At 38.1% G+C, this 24,089-nt stretch overlaps 1 protein-coding gene across 14 annotated transcripts in view, besides 1 other annotated feature; it reads right to left on the bottom strand.

Moving 5' to 3' along the window:
- CTNNA2 (catenin alpha 2) overlaps positions 1-24,089 on the bottom strand; it is a 1,463,404-nt gene that overhangs the window by 160,766 nt on the left and 1,278,549 nt on the right. The gene's annotated exons all lie outside the window — the stretch shown is intronic.
- Positions 5,045-5,245: a silencer, noted in NCBI's record as "fragment chr2:80709895-80710095 (GRCh37/hg19 assembly coordinates)". NCBI's record gives its function as "represses an EF-1alpha promoter that drives an FKBP-Casp9 reporter gene in an ReSE screen in phorbol 12-myristate 13-acetate-treated (for megakaryocytic differentiation) K562 erythroleukemia cells {active_cell/tissue: K562(+PMA)}" and the evidence as "EXISTENCE:reporter gene assay evidence [ECO:0000049][PMID:32094911]".

The following is a 24,089-nucleotide window of genomic DNA, read 5'->3' as shown; positions in this document are numbered from 1 at the left end:
CAATACAAGTCATCAGAAATAAAAAGATCTACAAATTTAATCATTCACAAAGTAAGAACTTCTATACAATGAAAATTAGCACAACTAAAATTGGAGGAGGTCAATGGTCACAGAAAAAATATATCAAAAGTAACACATTTGTGTCTGTTATACAGGGAACCACTCTAGGGTAGATGAAAGAGCCTTAGTTTGGCGTCTAAGAGACACAGGTCATAGTGAAGATTAAATCATACAATGCATGGAGATAAGTTTCTTTTAGGATTCATATGAAAAACATCAATAGTCAAAAGAGGTTTACATAAATTATACTATTGATATGGTTTGGCGGTGTCCCCACTGAAATCTCACCTTGAACTGTAGTTCCCATAATCCCCATGTGTCATGGGAAAGACCCAGTGGGAGGTAATTGAATCATGGGGGCAGTTATCTCCATGCCATTCTCGTGATAGTAAATGAGTTCTCATGAGGACTGATGGTTTTATAAGGGGCTTTTCCCCTTTTGCTTGGCACTTCTTCTTGCCACCATGTGAAGAAGGACATTTCTGCTTCCCTTTCTGCCATGATTATAAGTTTTCTGAGGCCTCCCCAGCCCTGCAGAACTGTGAGTCAATTAAACCTCTTTGCTTTATAACTACCCAGTCTTCAGCAGTTCTTTATAGCAGCATGAGAATGGACTACTACAACTATACAGACTTAATTGATTAAAATTGTGCACTTTTTTTTTTTTTTTTTTTGAGACAGAGTATTGCTCTGTCGCCCAGGCTGGAGTGCAGTGGTGTGACCTCAGCTCACTGCAACCTCTGCCTCCTGGGTTCAAGCGATTCTCCTGACTCAGCCTCCTGAGTAGCTGGGATTACAGGTGTGCACCACCACGCCCGGCTAATTTTTGTATTTTTAGTAGAGACGGGGTTTGGTAAAGGTCACGCTGGTCTGGAACTCCTGACCTCCTGATCCACCCGCCTCGACCTCCCAAAGTGCTGGGATTACAGGCATGAGCCACCACGCTCGGCCCAAGTTTTGCACTTTTTAAAAGCAATATGTCAGAGCTACATGTGCAGATATGAAAAGATATCCAAAATGCCTTGTTACATAAAACTAAACAAGCACTACACACAATGTGGGATCCGGGATCTGAAAAAGGACATTAGTAGATGAGCTGATGGAATACAAATAAAGTATGAAATTTATTGAATAGTAGTAATGTACAACTGTTAACTTCTCAGCATTGGTGTAAGGTCATATATAAAATGTTAACATTAGAGGAAGTTGGACAAAGGGTAAATAGGATCTCTCTGCATTATTTTACCAGTCTAAAATCATTTCAAAATAAAAAAGCTCATGAAAAAACTGATTCCAAAATAGTACAGACAAAATGTACCCAAAAATTAATAGAATGTAAGTATATACATAAGAAAATTTTCTGGAAATGTAAGAACTAAATTCTTCAGGGTGGTTACATCAGTATTGGAGATGAAATCGCAGTGAGCCTTCTCTCATTTTATTTATTTTTTTCTCATTATTGAATTTTTAATAATGAACATGTACTACTTATATAATCAGAATTATATAGTATTACAAATGTGTTTCCATGGTTATTATGGTTTCTATTTACTGGAGAATACTATATCTCAAAGAAGTCACAGGGTTTGTGAATAGTGAAACAAAACAAGATTTGAACACAAGCCCTAATTGCAGAGCCTGAACTATTAGTCACTATGTGATATTGCCTTTGGAACCTGAGCTTTCTGGGACAAGGATGGTATTTTATTTATGGCCATATTCCCCACACTATCTAGTGCAGCACTTAGCATGTCCTAAGCAATTGATATGTGTCTATCAACTGCAATTGAATTCCAGTATGAACATTCTGTTTCTAACACAAATGTAATAGACTTTCCATTTATAAGAGCATAACTATGTACAGCTGATTTCTAATATGCTTCTTGATTGCACTTAGGAACAAATGCATCTTTACAGAGTCTGAGGGTGTAATTAGGAGCTGGAAAAAGAATGGAACCAAATTCAACATGAATAATGTCACACAAATGCAAAAAAAAAATATGGTGAAATCAAAAGCTAGACTCCTAAAGCTTAACTTGCTTTGCAAAATACCATCATGAAGCTCAAGATAAAACACCATTAAAACAATACTCAAAACCACTGCTGTAAGTAATAGAGAGTGATTGAATGTACCTTGGCTGATGTATGTTTAAATTGCTTCATCCAAATCTGTGAAACTAGAAAGTGCCCTGGCTGGACTTTTTTGTGATTCTGTTGTTGTTATTGTTGTTTGTTTTGTTTTCCAATTATTGTTTTCAGTTCACTGGTTAAGGAATCAAAATGTTTCAATTTTTTAATAAAAAATATTTATTAAAACTAAAGGTTAAAACCTTGCTTCCATTCTTGTTCTACTGAAACACATATGGATTTTGTCACAATATAATGGCATTTGAAATCTGAAAAAATGTTATTCCTTAAATGGACTGTCTGACCTTTTCATTCATTATTCCATTCACAAGTTGTTTAACAGGTTGTCAGGCTGGATGTCCTCATTCCAGGCTCCAGGGTGAATACAACTTGACCACTAAATAAAATCCCAAATTGTTAGGAATGCAAATGAACAGAGAGGTTCGGAGAAACCCTGTATGGAGTTATCAGAAAAGTAATTCTTGGAATAGTCAATGTAAGAGTAAAGGTATTTTTTTTCCTTCCTGGCACAGGGATGCTGATTATATTTGGCTCAAAAGGATGAATGATGTCACTTAACTTCCAAAAACAAATATTCTGATCAAAGTTTCCTAGAATATTTCACAGAAGTTAGTTTGACAGTGGATGAAAATAAGAGTAGAATTTATATACACATTCTTTGCCTGATTTAAAGGACTTGGGAAAACACCCACAAACAACACACACGTACACTTACAAACTATTCTGCAAAACAAATGAGTAAAGCATTTTTAAGATTCATTCATAGACCCATTATTATTATTATTGTTATTATTATTATTTAAGACGGAGTCTCGCTCTGTCACACAGGCTGGAATGCAGTGGCACAGTCTCGGCTCACTGCAAGCTCCACCTCCCAGGTTCACGCCATTCTCCTGCCTCAGCCTCCCGAGTAGCTGGGACTACAGGTGCCCACCACCTTGCCCGGCTAATTTTTTGTATTTTCAGTAGAGACAAGGTTTCACCGTGGTAGCCAGGATGGTCTCGATCTCCGGACCTAGTGATCCGCCCGCCTTGGCCTCCCAAAGTGCTGGGATTACAGGTGTGAGTCACTGCGCCCAGCCAGACCCATTATTTTGTTTAACAAAAACTTTCTGCCTTTGAATTATAAGTATGTACATTATCACAGAATGAGTTCCATGTTTATTATTTGGTATCAAAACAATGATAGCTGTCCTACAGCAATTTCTCAGGTTTGCATTCCTTTCTTGGAAACTGCTCCCCTTCTCCCTCCCATTCATGTGCTATAGACTAGGACAAAGGCTATTTCCTGTTCCATATGCATCAGAGGTTTGTTTACATATTTCAATCATATTCCTTTTTCGCCGAACAGCCAATGAGCCAAGTATTATTACTATTATTAATTTTAAGACACTAGACACTGTTTTCAGTCCCATTCTGCCCATATTCACTTATTCAACAGCTCTCTAATGCACACACACTATGTATCGGGTACATGCCCACATATACCTCTTTAACTGCTCTTTGTGGAACATCTGCTACATGTCTGGATTATCATAGGTACGTGTTATAAATCAGTATCACAAATCTTGCTTTAAATGTATTGACCACAAGCGCATTCAGAATTCCACACATAAGTGAGCATACTTTAAATTAAAAAAATTAAAAAACCAATGTTTGGTTTTCTATATATTTCTTGGTGGTTCCCAATACTTTGGTGGTACTTTATTTCTAACTCATAATGGACTAATGTCATTAGTGAACATTCTTCAATGACTCTTTTTATACAGCATAACTGACAGCCCAAAGAACATCATCTCATAATAATTTGTATTCTTTTTCCTTCAAGCAGCTACTTCACATTTACCCATGATGAAGTTCATTTATTGCCTTACAAATCCTTGCAAGGTTTTCTCTTCATTAGTTTTTGTCTGCTTGGCACCAAGCTACACTGTACAGCCCTGCACAGGTCTTTAAAAGACTGAAGTCTCACTATTCATTCTTCAGCACAGAGTACTTTTTCAGATGTTAAATAAAACATCCATGACTCAATTTATCAAATCACAGAATTTCCTATTTATCCCAATACTTTGTTTTCTGAACTGAAACCAACTCACCACTCATTTAAAATAAGTTTTTGGTAAAGAGTTGTGTCTTCCACCATTCTCCTTAGTTCATATATGGACTTATTTGTAAATTCAAAATATTCTGTAGATAAGATTCTCCATTTCAAAGTCTCTGTTTACTTGCACCCCTCTTCCAAGACAGGAACTCTGACTTTACATTTCAATGCCCAACACAGTGCCTGGTACATAGTAGGATTGAATGAGTTGAATTAAATACATTGAATCATGTAATTAAAATCTCACATTCAGTGCAGACCTGATCATCTTTGATGCACAATAAATAATCTACTTTTATTAAATATATACATATGTAAATATATATATATATATATAAAACAACAACATGACTCTAGATGGACAAAAAGAGACTGCAAATCATCTGATTAAAAGATATAAAATGCTGAAGGATAAGAATAGAAACATGTACACTTTTTCTGGTGTACTAGATGGGAATGAAAGAAAGAAGGGAGAGGGAAACAGACTTGAAAACTGATATATCATTTTAGGATGGCTGTAGGAAATGAACAAAAGGTACAAAATGTTCACTACTTCTAGAGCTCAGCTATGCTACTCTCTCAGAGACACTAATACTATTGTACAGCCATATATCAGTTTGCAAAAGCATGCCTGGTCCTCAGCCTCAGTGAGCCAAAATGAGATAGCTTTCAGGAACAAGGAGTGAAAGAGGAAGAAAGATAAGATCTACTAAAAAGTGTTCACAAAATCAAGTTCTTCCAGGAGCAGAGCCAGGGCAAGACAGGTAGTGTAAATGAAGGAAGTGGGCCTGAATTTCTGGAAGGCACCAGGGAATGGTGAGTATTGTGGAGAACAAGAAAGCAAGTTCTTGTTCTGAAGCGGGCACAACTATTGTTGCTGTGGAGGAAGACAGATGGGTGTTACCAGATCTTTGCATGTTTTTCAGATATCAGATTGCATATTTGTATGTAAAAAATCTCCTGATTTTTAAATGTTGGCAACTAGTAGAAAATATGAACATCATGGAGATTGACACTGTGGAATCAAAAAATAATACACCTTCTAGCTTAATTTGGCCAGTAGCTCCCTGTTACATTAGCAACCATTTCTCTAGATGAAGGGTCAGCAAGCTATGGCCCTTGGATTAAAGCTAGCCTGCTGCCTCTTTTTGTAAATACAGTTTTCTTGGAACACAGCCATTCTCATTCATTTACCTATTGTCTATAGTTGCTTTCACATTACAATGGCAAAGTTGAGCAGTTGTGACAGACTGTCCGTCTCATAACGCCTAAAATGATCACAATAGGCCCTTTCCAGAAAGCTAGCTGACCCCTGCTCTAAATATTCCTTTTTCAGCCACCACCTACCAGTACCAGGAACTGTACTCCTGTAATTACCACGCATGTCAAGAGACCCTTTAAAAGTTAGAGTTTCCTTATTGGAGGGATTACATGAAGCTCACACTCAGCCACTTAGGTTTCAAGGTGTTCCCAGATGAAAATTCTGGCCCAGATTCATGTCTGACAGACTTTTGGGAGGAGGAGGAGGAGGATTGGATCACCAGATTAATCAAAGTCTGTTGCCTTTATTTCTAAAGACTATTACATGACTGAAGTAATTAAATTAAATTAAATTAAATTAAATTAAATTAAGACCTTGGGAAATACAATTCTAAGTCTTAACATTTTGCATATGTTGTTAAATGTCCATGATTCATAGCAAATGAGATCTATTTACTGGAAGTAATCTCCCCGATATGGCCATCTAAACTTGGTTCTCCATCAGATATATTCTTGGGAAATTACAATTGTTTTTTCCAACAAGTAGACACTTGTTTACCTTCTAGGTTTGTGGAAGGCATGAAGTCCTTTATAGTATCATTTTTTTTCTTATTTAATATTTACTGTCATATATGTTTGCATGATTAAAAGGAGGCATTAAACCTTGGTTCTTAATTATAATCCGTGATCCATAGAGGCTGCAAAGCAAAAGCTCAACAAGTTTGTAGTCCTTAATAATAGACGACTGCTTTGTTTCTATCTGAAAGATGATGTTCCCTGTACTAAGAAGCAGAATAAGACGAAAAACTCTGAGGTCCTTTGACTGGTGAGGGTCCAATAAGAAGGTCAGGTTTAACATCCTTCTAGTGTTAGACCAATCTGTTTACCAAGCGATTGTACCACTTGTTAAGAAGCATAATTTCCTCTGATTAGGTACTTCTGTTAAAACAAACATTATTCATACTAATAATACCTGTCATGTATTAAGCCTTTACCGTGCACCAAACACTTTTAAGTTCCTGACTGAATTATCTAATTAGTTCCCTTAACAACAACCCTATGAAGCAGGTACTATTATTATCACCATTTTACAAACGAGGAACTTGGGAATGGGGTGTTAAGTCAATGTATACAATACCCCAAAGAAATGAGAACAGACATATTTGTACCACGACTCCTCTGCCATTAGACACTTAAACATGATTTGAGTATAAGGAAGCACAAAATAATAGAGATTACTTTCACAGCTAAACTTCTCTCTTGCACTAATTTAGCCACCAGAGTTACTGTCATTCTTGCAGGTTTCTGGCATATAATTTGGCATTTTACCTCAACCAAGGTATATTAGTAATGAAAAGGAATGTCCAGGTAACCAAATGTGGCTCAGTTTTCAACTAATTAGTAGCTTGGATGGACATTGCATTTTGCAAAACTCAGAAGTGGCTCAAAAGATGCTTAGGTTTAGAGCTAGAAAATACATTTCACTCACCTGTTCACCCACCTGAACGTAAATGAATTCCTTGGTGTGGGATTCCTAGGAGTCATTTATTTATCGCAACTATCTTATTAAAGTGCTTTCCTACACATTTATTTCTCTAGGTATAAAAGCCATGTCAGGGAAAAATAGAGGGTCCTTTTAGACACATTTGGCAAATGAGAAAACTAGCATATAGAGGTGATAAGTGAATGGCTTGCTGTCATGTGATAATTAGCGTAAAAGCTTGCAAAGGGAAGCTCAGACTTCTACCTCCAATCAACAGAGCATCCTAATTTTAGGTAGGAAAGGTTCTGAATTATTAAAGACATCTCACATAAGCCCTGGATTGAAAATTCAAGATGCCAATTTAAGATTACAAAATTTTACATCAATAGGTTCAGGTCGCACAATAGGCCTAGTTTTCTCACAAGCAACGATACTTACATCTCATAGACTGGGGCAAGTCTGCAAACTTACCAGTCCTACTCCATGATGAGATAAACATAGGAATTGGGTGTAAAGATTTGGAAACTCTTACAGGAATATTAGACACTAATTTCATGTCTGTTAAATCTAATTTTTAAAATTGGGGCTTTTATTTTATAGGTCTGAAAAAAATACCATTCATCTAGATTTTATAATAAATTTTAAAATTATCTTTTTTTACATTTTAAAAATAAAACACTGTGCCTTCTCACCTCTGGTAGATGAAAAGCATTGAGTTAGAGCTCTTTGTCCAATTCCATGTAGGAAAATGCATAAAATTTTTCATTTTGTCAACTTTTAAAACTTTAATTTGTGGGAAAAATAAATTATAAATTATATTAACATGCAAATAATGGGTAAGGTTTACATTTTATTTTTTATTGGGCATATGATCAATTAAATTAGAAAACTGCTGGTCTAGAAAATTATGTAAGGAAAAGTAGTGAAAATGTTACATCTATTTCTAAAACCATATAGAAGTAAAAGGAAGGGTTAGTAAAATAAGTCTAGATATCTTCCTTAAGTGCTACTTACATACATTCATAATGTTGTATATGGAACCAAGCTTTCTCCAAAGTTGACAAAAGAATGAAATTATTCAAGCTTTGCATCTGAAAGTGGCCACTTAAATTATTTAAATGACCTTTCCAATGTGGACTCCAATTTCCTATCACAATATCTGTGATTAAAATGTTTTCAATAAATCAGTTTTGTATAATAATTAGAGGACATCCCTTTCTAGTGACTAAGTTACATTTTAGTTATCTACAGATGAGAATTTACCTTTTTTTAGGGCAGTACATTTCAGCTTTGTAGATATCTTTTAGAAAGCTTTCCTCCATATCTGCCTATTTATAGTTTCCACCTGTTGATCCAAGAGCCCTACAAAAATAAGCAGAGCTAAGTGTAACCCATCTTATATATAAAAGCCCTCTAAAAACTTGAAAGCAGCCATTAGGTCTTTCCTTTGTCTTCACTTCATCATGCTATACATCCCATTCCTTTAACTGTTCCCCATAGGGTTTGTCAACCTTGGAATTATTGACATTTTAGGTCAGATGATTCTCTGTTGCTGGAGGCTGTCCTGCGCACTATAGGATATTTAGCAGCACCCTAGTCTTTACCCACTAGACACCAGTAGCATCTCTTCCTTTTCATCACCATGTCCGGCAGCCAAAAATGTCTCAGAACGTTGCCAAATGTCCCTAGACATTGCCAGCTGTCCCCCAAGGAGCTAAAATCTCTGATCGAGAACAACTGTTCCAAGATACTCTAAGAGTTGGTTATAATAAAATGGATCCTAATAATGATCAGAGGAAAAAAACTGTTAATAAATAAAAATTTAAAAATACTTATATGTGTTTTTACTTAGGAATATATGTAACCAAGAAGGTGAGAGATCTCTACAATGAGAACCACAAAATATTGATGAAAGAAATTATAGATGACACAAAAAAATTAAAAAAAAAACCCATGCTCATGGATTGGAAGAATCAATACTGTTATAATGGCCATACTGCCCAAAGCAATCTACAGATTCAATGTAATTCCTCTCACCAATGCCAGTTTTCACAGAATTAGAACAAAAATCCTAAAATTAATATGGTACTAAGAAAAAACCCAAATAGCCAAAGAAATGCTAAGCAAAAAGAACAAATCTGGAAGCATCACAGTATCACCTAATTACGTCAAATTATTACAAGGCTATAGTAACCAAAACAGCTTGATACTAGTATAAAGGAGACACATAGACCAATGAAACAGAATAAAGAACCCAGAAATAGAGCCAAATACCTACAATCAGTTGATCCTTAACAAAGCATACAAGAACATACCCTGGAGAAAGAACACTCTATTCAACAAATAGTGCTGGGAAAATAACTGGATAGCCACATGGAAAAGAATCTGTCACCGTTTACAAAAATTAACTCAAGATGTGTTAAAGACTTAAGTTTAAGACCTGAAACTGTAAAAATTCTAGGAGAAAACCTATGAAAAACTCTTCTGGTCATTGGCCTAGGCAAAGAATTTATGACTAAGACCCCAAAAGAAAATGTAACAAAAACGAAAAGAAATAAATGGGACTTAAACTAAAAAGCTTCCGCACAGCAAAAGAAATAATCAACAGATAAAAAGACCACCTATAGAATGGGAGAAAATATTTGCAAATTATGCCGCCACCAAAGGACTAGTATCCAGAATCTACAAGGACAGATCAGCGAGAAAATAAACCAATAACAAATAATCCCATTTAAAATGTGGGCAAATGACATACACAGACATTTTTCAAAGAAGATATACAAATGGGCAATAAACATATAAAAAATGCTCAATGTCACTAATCATCTGGAAAATGCTAATTAAAACTATAGTGAGACACCACCTTACCCCAGCCAGAATGGTCATTATTAAAAAGTCAAAAAACCACAGGTCTTGGGGCAGATGCAGTCAAAGGGAATGCTTATACACTGTTGATGAGAAAGTAAATTAGTACGACCTCTAAGGAAAATAGTATGGAGATTTCTCAAAGACCTAAAAGTAGATCTACTATTCAATCCAGCAATCCCACTACTGGATATCTACCCAAAGGGGGGTAAAAAGTCCTTATATCAAAAAATACCTGCATGTGTATGTTTATCACAGCACAATTCACAATTGCAAAGATATGGAATTAACCTAAGTGCCCATGAACTGATGAGTGAATAAAGAAAATGTGAGATACACACACACACACACACACACACACACACACACATTCACACCATGGAATACTACTCAGCCATAAGAAAGAATAAAATAATGTCTTTTGCAGAAACTTGGGTGGACCTGGAGGGCATTATCCTAGATAAAGTGATGCAGAAGCAGAAAATCAAATACCACATGTTCTCATTTATAAATGGGAGCTGAGCTATGGGGATGCAAAGGCATATAGAGTAGTATAACGAATGGAGACTCAGAATGGGAAAGGATGGGTGGGAGGTGAGGGATGAAAAATTACCTAGTGGGTACAATGTACACTATTCTGGAGATAGGTACACTAAAAGCCCAGATTTTGCCGCTACATAATTCATCCTTATAATGAAAAATGACTTGTACCCATAAATCTATTGATTTTTTTAAAGAAAATATTTCCCAAATTAAAATTTATTTCTATTTACCAGGAACAGACTAGAAAGCAATCAGTTAGTATTGACTGTTATTACAACCACTTAAGATAATCAGAATCAAAAACAAGTGTTCATTTTTCAAAGCCTGTTTTTCTCCTACGTAGTATGCTTCTGTGTATGTATGTGTGCGTGTGTATGTGTACCACATAGGTACAAATGTATTCTATTCCTTATCAGTGCCACCACATCTGCACATTCCTGTTCTGAAATCTCCATACTGAGACTGATTATCTATAAACTCTAGGCCAGTCATTTTACAAATCCAACCCAATATACTCTAAATAGTAATTATTCTACCAAAACAAAGAACTTCTGTTATGCATGAGAAATGCATGATTTTTGCTTTTTTGCCTGGTAGTAAAAGGCCTCTTTACTCTAAAATTAACAGATAATCATCTCTCTCCTATGAATCCTGATAACATGGCCACTGCTATCAAGCAATTTTCTTCTTCAACAGGCACAAGTCATAAGTCCACCCTCTGAAACTAAGCAGGTGAACAACATGTAATTAGCTGTATTTCATCCTTGGAGGGCATTCTATTTTTCATTCCATGATGCCCCCTTCATTCCCAAAGAGACTGCTCCTTATGTCTGAGGCCAGAAAGCAAGAGAGGGGAGGAGCATTGTGGTGTTGTCAGTAAACCCGTCTGTGAGCTTGCCTGCCTGGTTGTCGTCTGAGTTTCACTTCTTATAAATAGAAAAAATGTAAAGAACTGAGCCAAGGGAGAAAATACATTTAATAATTCTTAAACCCCTCAATACACATAAATAATTTAGTTGTAAAACAATTGCCTGGGAAAAATGCTTTTTTTGCTTCTTGATGCTATGTTACTTCTGTCACTTTGTTTTCTGAGAATTGACTGATTGTCAAACACTGAGTTAAAGTCCAGTTTCCTACAACTAGTGTATCAAATTATTTTTCCACCTTTTCCCCTGGAGAAGTAAGTTGAAAAAGAGAAAATTTGGCAGTTACGTGAAGCTCATCTGCCATTTGGGTCTTAAGGAGTGTGCAAAATATGTTTTCAACAAAATCTGTCCTAATTGACATGAACATGAGAGAGTGTCCCCGAGAGCCAAAAAGCTCCAGCCCGACTTCTCAGATATCTCTACACATTTGTTTTGCCTCCTTGGGGGTGAATCAGACATCATCTGTGGTCATGGGTTCAGCTAATTAAAGGACATAGGTGCTATTCTCAAGAATGACATTTAGCTCAGTTCTCTCAAGGCAAGTAATGTAAAAAAATAAAGAGATAAGTGACAATTGACATATCCTCAGTGCCAGGAGATCTGGTGACTGGGTGAACCTTGAGAAGGGCACACAAGGGCAAATCCATCTGTGCCCTAACATTATTGCTCTAGTCGATAGGAACATGACCCCAGATTGCCAGAATTGATTTTTTTTTTAAGAAAAGCACAAGCCATTATTTTTTTCTTTTAGAATATGCTAAATGTTTAACTATTTGTAATAAATTCTGTTTTTTCTTTCCCCTTCATTCCATATGTGGCAATATTCTGTGTACTGTAATCATTTCCTCAACAGGCCTTATATGATACACAGACTGGCAGTTTGAGACCTCTCTAGGAAGATTTGACTGTTAGTAAATTAGAACATTATTTTATGATTAAGGCAGCTCTTCAAATGCATATGTGAACAAAGTCATCATGTCAAAGAATAGTAGACCCTGAAATAAGTCCCAAAACACCTAATCTCCCACCTCCACTTCACATGATTTCATAGGTGTTTGGTGACAGAATAGCAGATTTCCTGATGCCCACACAAGGGATATTTATATCTCATCACTTGACCTCATATTTGTAGTTGAGAGCTCCAGTCCTTTACTTATCAAAATAAGTAAATAAATAAATGTCCATTACTCTTTTCTTAATAAATTAAAAATATCTTTATGAGCTCCTTATTTTGCACCACCTCTCAACTTCTTTGTTAAATCAGCAGTTATTAGCACATGTGTATTACATGGACCAACAGATTTACCCTCAAAAATAAAGGGGAAAAAATGCCAAAATATAAAACCCAGTATGCTCTAATCCTTGTTAACTCAACATACAATGACACAATTTACACTTTCCAGTGGAGGGATACTGTTGGCCACTTCATCATTGGCACACGTACTTATTATTAACACCGAAGAATGTGTGAATGAGATCGTTAAGTTATTTGAAGAAACATTTATCATATTTTTTGGAAAAGGGTGCTGATGACTGTACAGCATCATCTCTAAAAATGGCAAACAGAAAAATTAACATGTTGAGTAAAAATCACCCAACTCACAGACACCTCATTTGCTTAGGTGTCTATATCTCTGAGATCTGGGCCTGTGAGATAATTTTTTTGGTCTTAAGAATGACTATTTTGCTAAGTCATCTTGGGTTTGACCTTCCGATGAATGGCAAACCATGTGCTCTTCAATTCTCCATCCCCAGGGAAGAATGCTACAAATAATCTCAATATTCAATTTCCTTGCTTTTGTCCTTGTATTCAAAAATTCTACCACGGTTTTATTTCTGTTTGCAAATTTAATTTCCTGTCAACACTTCCAAGTAGCTATCTAACCAGCCTGTCTTCTGTTGATATTTACCCTAATAACAGAGAATTCATGGCTCCACAGGAAATTTCAATAAAAAGCACCGAGGAAGGCCCTTTGGTTTGTCATTCAGTCATTATCTAGATAATAAAAAGACTTTGCATTTTATTGGTTTGATAGGAAATGGTTCAATTTATGGTAGGAAAATGTAGGTATGTAACAGTATAAGCTATGTTGGAATGGGAAGGCAATACTGAAATTTACCTCTTGCCTTCTAAACCAGGAACTGCCCAATTCTGGTTTTGTTGTTGCTGTTGTTGTTTTGGGGATGAGATGGGATATGGTGGGGGTGGATCCTCACACACAGGAGTAGGCTGTGGATATGGACACCCACCTCCATTCTCTCCTTAAACTCTTCTTTGCTGGCAGTGTAGCACCATGAGGAAGATCTTAAGGCTCAGGGCAAAGCAGCAAAATCTCCAGTGCCAACAAAAGCCAACCATGTCACTTGGTGTCTGCAGTCTGTTTGAATAGTGTTTCCACAAAAAATATGCTTTCTCATTCTTCTCTCAAAATATATGGTTCTTCTGATGTACCTTCTTATTTTTTACTGTTGTTAAAACATAGATTTTTAAAAATAGGTCTCTACCATTAAGAAACAAAAACTGTTTTGGTAAATGACAACTGCCTTGGCCTCAGCGTCAGGAAGCAAGAGTGAATTGTAAAGACTGCAGAGAACTGATCATCCAAGGGGCAGCTGTGCCTGCATTGAAGCTGTGTGTGGCTGGGCAGGAATGTAAGACAGATGGTTTTGGAAAGAGAAGCCAGGGATTCAAATGTTTATACATAAACTCTGATTTTTAATGTTAGCTCAAGTTTTAAAAAATCCTATGATGGCCAGAAACTACACAAAGACAAAAAACAAACACACATCTGTGAGCAGCCAGTCAGGGACCCCCAGGCTAGAAAAATTAAAGGCCCTTTACTGCAGCATCAAATCTATTCTCTAGAGATATTTTTGATCACTCAGGATGTACAAGCACCCATGATCGTAAGACTGAATATTTTTCTGTTGTTGGGGAGCAATAATGGAGATTGAGAAAGTTTAGTAAAATGTAAACTGACTGCTGAGCAAACTCAGGCATGCCAGAGTCTGGAGCTTTCACTGGTGAGGTGGGTTCCAATGAGTACAGCATTTATAACCTCTTCAAAATGTCCAGACTTTCATTTTAGCATGAATTGCTTAAGTGCCTGTATTTTATAAAACATATTACAGAGGTTGTATATTTTCATTTTAGGAAAATTAGAATATATAGGTAATGACCAAGTAGAAACTCTAAATCACCCATTATCTAGGCACACAAAGAAAATCGACATTTTAGAAAAAGCCCTTCATGATAGTTTTGTTTTCTTACAAATACTAGCTTTTATTTTGTATTCTGTTTCGTAACTCACTTTGCAACGTGCCAGCAGCTGAGGGCACCATAGCCTGACCCCTGTAGCCTTTGGCTCCTCTGTTCCTTCCACTTGGAATGATCTGGCTTCCAGCTCAATCGCTGAGGAGCCTGAGGCCTGGGGAGTCTGGGGTCATTATCACCAGTCCACACCGAATGCCCTTACTCTCATCAGAACTGACCTTCCCTAGCTTCAGATAAGGATGCAGGTGCTTCTTACCTTTAGTTGTTCTCAAATAGTACTGTCCTTAAATTCTCTTTTCTTAAACTGTAAGCAAAAGTTGTACATATTGACTTGGTGACTGTGTGATGCCTTTAAGGGGTCCAGCAGACAAGTGGGCACAGTAGGTACCTAATACATTTCACTGACAAGCTGAACGAGAAGGTGGGATGGGGCGAGGCAGACCTCATCCTCTCCTAGCCCTTTGACACGTGTAATGACAATAACTGGAGGCCTGTTCACTAAAATAATAAACCAGTGATACCCTCCCTGTTCTACGGGAGAATGTGTCAACCAGTCTCCTTCCTGCTTAGCCCACAAGCCTTGTTTAATTCTGTCTTGTGCTTGACTGGCCCTGCATAGGCTCCATCTCTCCCCACCCTAGATCAAGAAAAATGGGCCTTCTTGGGTCCCAGTCTTTTCTTGGGCATTCAACCCTCAACACAGTTCCTTCCTCCTCCAAGAGTTGTGGGAATCCAACCCCGTGAATGTACATGAAAATCTGGTACCTAATGGACACAAACTTTATTTCATTCAGTCAAAAGCTAAACTAAATTGGGAAAGCATCCTTCCTTTCAGGTAATTTAGTATTGCATGTTCAGAGTTTGCTTCCATGGCTCCAGCCTATGGGTGCCAAGATACCATCTTCCCACTATAATTGCTTCAGGTAGAATGTGCTGCAGGATTCAGAATGAGTAATGTGGCACCTTCTCCACGACCTCCCTCCAAGTCAGTCTTCACTGGGAGTAGGTTGACTGTAAGAGATTACCATTTATTCATCAGCCATGGCTAGATACATGCAGTCTGTGAAATATAGTCCTTTTGGTGCCACTGAGCTGCCAGGATCACCATAATCATCCTATCCCTAGGCTCTCATAGTAACTCTCTTGCCTTCCATTTGCCTCCCTGCAAGCCCCACCCTTATCTGCAGGTCCTCTAGACTTCTAGTTCTGCATATTTTCTAACCTTTTTTTTTTTTGAGATGGAGTCTCGCTCTGTCACCCAGGCTGGAGTGCAGTGGAGCAATCACTGCAACCTCTGCCTCCCAGATTCAAGTAATTTTCCCTGCCTCAGCCTCCCGAGTAGCTGGGATTACAGGCATGTGCCATGACACCCAGCTAATTTTTGTATTTTTAGTAGAGATGGGGTTTCGCCACATTGGCCAGGCTGGTCTTGAACTCCTGACCTCACATGATCCACTCACCTCGGCCTCCTAAACGCTGTGATTACAGGCATGGGCCACTACGCCCGGCCACCTTCTTTATGCATTTTTTTTTTAACAAACTTGAGGACAAAGGACCACTTTCCCGCCAACAGACAAACAAAAAACCTCTACTGTTACTCACCCTTCCTTTTTTATCCTTACATTATGGTATATCGAAGTAAATAAGCAATCAACATTTAAAAATTCCTCATAGTCTAGGACTGCAACAACTGGCTCCTATGAGGTCATATCCCATGGCCATATCCATGAGTTAAACTGGAAATTAGGTAAACCTTTGTTTTAATACCACTCTCCAGTGATAATTGCCTCTTCTTGGTTCCTTCCTCAGTCCCTGCTCCCTGGCTCCTGCCTCTAAACAGAATGAATCTCTCCAGATATTTTTAGTAGAGACTGTGCCTCCTTTACCTTTGGATCACTGGCTCCTACAGTAGGGTTAAAAACATACGCCATGCTTAATAACCATATATTGGATAATAAATAACAGGATAATAAATGAGTACAGCTTTTCTTCACAAACAAAGGTAAGAGTTCCAGTCTTTAAGATTTAGCAAACGCTACCTTATGAGAAGGAAGATATCTTATCGTGGAAGCACCCTGGCTTTCTCATGGATAAGAACAATCACCATCGTCTCTTGCCTGAATTCTTACAAAGGGCCCCCTACTCAGTCTTCCTGCTTCCGTTCTTCCAAAGATTTCTGACATGGGAGTCAGAATGACCTTTTAGAAATATAAATCATACTGTGCTTAAGGCCTCCATGGCTTCCCACTGCAATTAGGATAATATACCAACCCCCTATCATGGGCTGCTTGCAAGGACCTTTATGATCTGGCTCTGCACATCACTCCAAGTTATGTCCCACCTCATAGCCTTTCCACATGTTGTCTTCTGGGCTGGAAACCCCCCTCCACTCCAGTCTTGCATGGCTGCCTCCTCTCCCTTCAGGACTTTGCTTAAATGTCACTTGCTTAGAGAGACCCAACTGGAGTAGCTCATCTCAATGAAACTCTTCTCCCCTTTTTTATCTGTCTCCAGACACAGTTGCTTAGGTGCATGACTTTATCACTATTATTTCATGATTTTATCACAATCAGAAAATCTTTATTAATTGGTCTTCTTACTCCTATCTTCTGTATGCTTTCTCTATTCCTCAGGTTTCAAGAAGTAGGAAGCACATCCGTCTTGGACAGCATCTCCTCAGTATCCATACACACAGCCTAGCGCACAGTAGGTATTCAATGAATGTTTGGTAAATGAATGAATGAAGTAATACTGACAACTGCCCTTCTTTCTAACCTCATTGGCAAGTTCAGTCCAGTATAGAGCAAGACCCTGGCCAGGAGGAGAGCTGGGTGTAGGGGACACTGCTGTTTTCCGCAGGCTTACTCATGACATTTTTGGGACATAGAACAAAAATCCAAATTTGGAATTCAAATTTGGATGACTCTGATGCCTTGAAATTCTGTACTGGCATGTGAAGGCAGGGGGCCAGCTGACCTGTGGCTCCCAAATCCTTATCTGGCCCTTTATCTCCTTTCCATCCCCAGCCCTGTGTTGCCCTATAAGGGGGCAACTCCAACCTCTTCCCAACAGCTGCCCTTTGACCACTGCTTTGCCAAGAAGTATGTTCAACAGCAGCTCAATCTGCCTCAAGAGAAAGTGGTAGACAAAGTGGTAGGCAAGAGATCTAAGAAGGTCCCAGAATTAGATCTAGACTATTTGTCAGGGATTTCTGAGTAGTCTATGTCTAAATGGCACTGGATGTGGGCTCTGAATGAGCATGCTCCCTTGGCCCCAATGCTTCTCTCCCCCGCACGGGTAAAGGAATGCTGAAGGAGGGCTGGAGCAGAGTCCTCTGAATGAGAGAGGCTCAGTAGAGGAGCCACCCTTGCCCATGTCTTAGGGTTATATTGCTATTGCCCCATTCTAAAAAGTGGGACCTTTTCAAGGTATATTGACATGGCCATTGCAAGAACATGATGAAAAAATATTTTGAAGCCAAAAATAAGATAGTGAGATACTTAGAGAAGTTAGTGATAGGATGACCTCCCTTTTGCTTAAAGGTTCCCCACCAACCAATGTCATAAGCCCCTTGCCTACCACCTACTTCCTCATCACTGCACACCAGCCCCTAGCCTAGACTATACCCCCCATAAGGTACCAACATGTCTATGCCCATCCCAAAGGTCCAACAGACAGACATACTAAACTCTGCAATGAAATCCAACCCCTGACCTTATTAGCCAATCTCAGGGGCACCTAGAAGCCAACTTCCTATTTGTGGCTTGTCAGTCTTTCAGTGTTCAGCAAGAAAGCTACTAGTACCTAATGTCTACTAGCTACTAGTGTCTACTCTCCAGAAGCTGCTCTATCCAACTTGTGGATTAGTGTCAGATATCACCAACCAAATTCAGTAAACTCCGTAATATCTGAGCTGACTTTTTTCCCAGCTGGAAAAGTCTGTCTATCTTTCAGGCAACTGATATTCAGCAGCCTCCAACCTGCCAGAAACACGGCTTTCCATCAGTCACACTGGGAGACACAAGTCTGTTTATCAAACAATTATCAATTACTTGGAGGTTCTGGCTGTTCAGGCATATAATGAACTTCTTGGGTATTTGTTTCTATGATATTTCTAAGACAGAATAGATGTCAGTGCAGTCTCAAGATGTTAGCAAAATGACCAAAACCTCAGACCCTAAGAAAAGAAAGAGGAAAGGACTTTCTCAGAGGTAAATTGAGGGGGAAAACCAAAACTCTGTGCCACAGTAAGACCCCTATAAGCCGTCACACCACCACCACACAAACAGCAAATCTTCCTGATCTCACCTGCACCTTCAGCACCTTCAACACCTCCGTCCTGCCTCCTGACACCTGCTTCAGGATCCAAGTTACTGAATGGCAGAGCTGAAAAATTTAGCTTTCATTTGGTTCAAGCCCTCTGTTATTTGGATAATAAAAAAGGCTCAGAAAAAAATAAGGTACTTTTCTTGGGGCAAAATTCATCATCCTCCTCCATCATGATTAAAGCTGCTAAGTTTTAACTGATCACTTACTAGTGAGCAGGCCCTGTGTTAGGCACTTGATAATCATCATCTCAATGTGATATTGAATTCTGCGTCTACAGAAATGGGTACTAATATTAAAAATAGCACATGATGGCCGGGCACAGTGGCTCACACCTGTAATCCCAGCACTTTGGGAGGCCAGGGTGGGTGGATCACAAGGTCAGGAGTTCAAGACCAGCCTGGCCAATATGGCGAAACCCCGTCTCTACTAAAAATACAAAAATTAGCCAGGCATGGTGGCAGGCGCCTGTAGTCCCAGCTACTCAGGAGGCTGAGGCAGGAGAATCACTTGAACCGGGAGGTGGAGGTTGCAGTGAGCCGAGATTGCACCACTGCTCTCTAGCCTGGGTGACAGAGCCAGGCTCCATCTCAAAAAAAATAAATAAATAAATAAATGAAAAATAGCACATGACGCAATAACATCCATCTCTGTAGCCTGTGTTCAAACTTTCCACTGCACACAGCTAGCTCCACGTTTATAAACATAAATAATACTGTATTAAACATGGCTTTTGCTGCTTTTGGTTTTTCAAATAGGGTCCAAATTTTAGCACTGTGTGGGTATTAAATTGTATTTAGTTTATTTTACTGTATTCAGAAGACTTCGCCCTGATAACTCTTGGCTTTTTCAAAAGCCAATCCTGCCTTCAAAACACAAATATATGGGTACAGAGAATATCCAAAAGAATAGGCCACAGGTTCTTCCAGCAATTCCTCACAAGATACTCTAAGGACACTGGTAGCAACAGAATAATGATCAGGAAAAGTGTAAATCCTTCCATGAAAAATCGAACACTTATTTGAATAAATATATTCTATTATGTTTGTATCTTAGTTTGTTGGGGCTGCTATAACCAAACACTATAGGGTAATTTATAAACAACAGAAATTTATTGCTTGCAATTCTAGAGGCTGGGAAGTCCAGGGTCAAGATGCCAGCAGATTCAGTGTCTGGTGAGGACTCACTCTTGCTATATTTTCACATGGCAGAAGGGGCAAACAAGCTCCCTCAGGTTTCTTTATAAGGATACTAATCCCATTCATAAGAACTCCATCCTCATGACTTAATCACCTCCAAAAGCCCCCATATTATTAATACTATTACATTGGGAATTAGGTTTCAACACATGCATTTTGGGAAGACATAAACATTCAGACTGTGCAGTTTGTTAAAAAAGAAAAAAAGAAAGAAATGTCAAGTCAGCATTGCATTGTAGTGTTAACTCATAGATGTTAGGAAACTCTTGTTTTCGTAGAAATAATGGATCTCACGAGTGCCCTAGATCATTAAAGTGAAGTTTTGGGGTTTTTTGCAACTTTTATTTTGAACTAATTATGGTCTCACAGAAGTGCAAAAATAGTACAAAGAAGTTTCATGTACTAACCACGTATCTTCCCCTAGTAGTGTCTTATAACAGACTGGTACATTATTGAAAGCCACAAATTAATGCAGGTACAATGCAGTCAATTAGTGTAGAGACTTTATTTGATTTTCACTAGTTTCTGCATATATTCTTTTTTCCTTATCTTTCTTATTTTCTCTCTCCTTTTTGGTAGTCTGTCTTTGTGCATGAAGGATGGAGGTACTTTTAGAGTGAGGAAGCGCGTGGCATGTGAAGTAAGCCTAAGTCTGAATCATAGCTCTACCACTTTCTTAATGTGGGACTTACAACCTCTTTGAGACTTTTTATCTCTCCCTGAAAGACATTTCTTTATGTTAAGGTATTTGGAAGGCATTAATAAGGCTATGAGTAAACATGGCATGCCTAATCACAGGTAAACCTCCTTGGCTAAACTGATGCTTCATGATATCTAGTCTATCCTATCCATTGGCTTGGAGATACAATGACATGTAGCTTACACGTACCTGGTACAGCCCATGAAATTCACTTACTTGAAAGATATTTACTGATGATTTATTAGAACAATGCAAGGTATCTATTATACCAAATGTAGCCCTCTTGTTATCTAAAATATGCTGTTCCTTGGGGAACCCCAAATTTATAATCTTATTTTCATTGAACTCTTTGATGGAAATCCTGTTGGGGCCTAAGCAAGATAGCATGAAACAGAAACAATAACCCAGCTGAACTCACAGACAAATGCTATGGGAACTGTGAGAACTTTTCATGTATCAATCAAATGTAGTTTTTCCATCTGTTTGTGAACATTGCAAATTGAAGTAAGATTTTTTTTTGAAGAAATATGTGGACAAAACAAGTCTTCATTTTGAAAAAGGTTTCTTTTTTTTGCAAAAATATTGTCTACAACATTTTTTATTAAGAGGCTCCTCTAGTAAGTTTTAAATTATTTGGTATGTTAAAGAAATGTGCTTTGCCAAGTTTTACCTGGAAAGTCATCCATAACTGTCCAGAAACACATACATAATGCACATTTACTTATTTCATTAGTGTCATTCATTCATAAAATCAAGGAAAGAAGAAATGAAAAGCTAGAATGACACAATCTCTGTATTCTTGGTGCTGCTTGAGAAACAGGCACGCTTTTGCATCAGTACATCTCCTTTTTTCTCTGAGCATTTTATTTGGGTAGAAAGCTCTCTGTAAATCACTTCAATAAAGACTAAATAACTCCCTCCAGCAGGATTCAGATTTCTATTACTTTATACGCTAGAATGCCGATGAGTTTTCCAAATCAATATCACAACAGAAATGTGGCAATTACAATATAAGTTACAGAGGAAGAACATATAACAAGTTGCTTTCTCATTCTATTCTTGGAAGAAAAGGTCAGGCAGGAATAACAAAGGAAGAAAACACATATGGAAGCAGAAGAGTTGCAGATAACTTGTGGCCCCTCATGCTGACGATTAAAACACAGCACTAAATAACCAACTATGTGAGACACACTATTATTTCATATTAGAAGAATGCCTACTTCATTTTTAGATGAAAAAAATAAAAACCATCACACCATACTGAAACAGAATATAAAATTCAGGAAAACATTAGTGAAAGCTTGGGCTTACGAAACAAATAAATGAAGAGCTCATTCTAACTGCATCATAAAATGAAAATTAAGTGATAAAATTGAAATTCTTTGGTTTCACATCTTTTCTAGTCCCTTATTTAAAAGAAATAAAGAAGAAGTTAGGATAAAATAGAGGGAGGGCTAGGGCGAGGGCAAATGACTTCTTTTTTTGTTTGTTTTCTTCCTAGAATTGGCCTTCTTGATGGGCTGCTTTGATTTCTAAATGCACCAGCATCGCAGAAAGCTTTGGAGCACCTCCAAAAGGAGTGGAAGAAACCCTCTGTGGCCTTCTTCAAGCATTCCAAGATACTCAAAGAAATACCTGTTCCTGGCAACATGTGCCAAGTTCTTTCAGTCTGCAGTAATTTACGTTGTTGTCACCCAGTCTTCCATTTGTAATGGTTCTGTAACTGCAAAAATGGTAGGAGGGAAGTACACCAATAAACACTGACTACATAGTCATTAAGCTTGGACAATGGAATAAATATAATTCATAATTTGGGGAATTATTCACAAGCACATATGTATTAAGACCATACCCCTTGATCACAAAATGCATATATTTACTTGACATTCATGGAGCCTATCATGTGTTTCACTGTAATTGGAGCAGGAGGTTGAAAAGATTAATTCACCAGTACTTATAGAGAGCCTACCTGATTGTAAGCAGCAGGGTTCAATACTGAACAAGTCATGGCAAGATTCCCTGCTGGAGAATATGAATAACTCAAAACCCTTGCTTTTGAGTAGCTCTCATCCCAATGGAGCAGGGTGAATGAAGACGCATATCTTTTGACAAATAATTAAAATACTGTGAAATTAGTATTTATGAGGGTTTATGCCATGAATCTCAGAGAAAGAAACAAAACCATCAGAGTAGCTGAGAGCAAAGACTCTGGAACCAGAATGCCTGAATTTTAACACCAGCTGTGCCACTTACTAGCCCGCTGAACAATGGCTAAGTTAATTAACTTGTCTGTGCCTCAGATTCTTCACCTGTGGTATGAGATTTGTACTAGTACCTTCCTCATGTGTTTAAATAAACTAATGCTTATAAAGTCCTTAAAACAGTGTCTGGAATATAGGAAATTTACATAAACAAGGTCTCGTCCCAAAGTGATATAGGAACATTGTGCATGCCAGAGTGGGTATGCAAGTTGGGGGAGGCATTAGAGAAAAAGAAAAAAACTTAATGACAAAGTGAAACTTCCTAGCTAATATTGAATTTTCAGCCATTATTACAGACACCATTAGGACAGAATTTCCTGATACTACTCATTCTACCTATTTTTAAGTCCAGATCTGCTTGTTCCCTTTTTACTGTGAGAAAACCTCACTGAAGCACAAAGAACTTTGGTAGAAATGATTCAACCATCAGGGCAGGAGGAACTCTAAGTAAAAGAGAGCTAATTAAAACATCTGACCACAACTCAAATTTGTCCATTTCATTGCATGAATCAGTTTTAACCCAATGTCTGATACCCCATAGAAAACCTGGTACCATGATGAAAAGCTCAAGAACCCGTAAATTATTTGGAATTAACATCACTGTCAAAACAGATTATTGGATCTCCATTATATTGAAGACAGTTCTTTCTTCTGGTTCATGCAGGACAGATAGAACATTCTTTCTCACAGTTCAGGCTGGAGCTGCTGGGATAAGATCAACTAGAATTCCAAGAGGGCTGCAGTGATGCTTGGAGGCTGGCAGAGAGAGGGAGAGAAGGCATCAATGCTGGGTCAAGGACAGACCAATAAGAGTAAACCTGTTGGTTTAGAAAGAAGGAAAAATATGAAAGAGGTTCACAGAATCATGAAGGGGAGATAAAGGAAGAGGCAGAAGATGAAAAAGGAGAATAGGGCTTCATTCCTGAAACCTCAGTCCATGAGC

Source organism: Homo sapiens, chromosome 2 (assembly GCF_000001405.40).
Source record: "Homo sapiens chromosome 2, GRCh38.p14 Primary Assembly".
Classification (NCBI taxonomy): domain Eukaryota; kingdom Metazoa; phylum Chordata; class Mammalia; order Primates; family Hominidae; genus Homo; species Homo sapiens.
The sequence above is the reverse complement of the archived record's forward strand: the minus strand, read 5'-3'. Positions and strand labels throughout refer to the sequence as shown.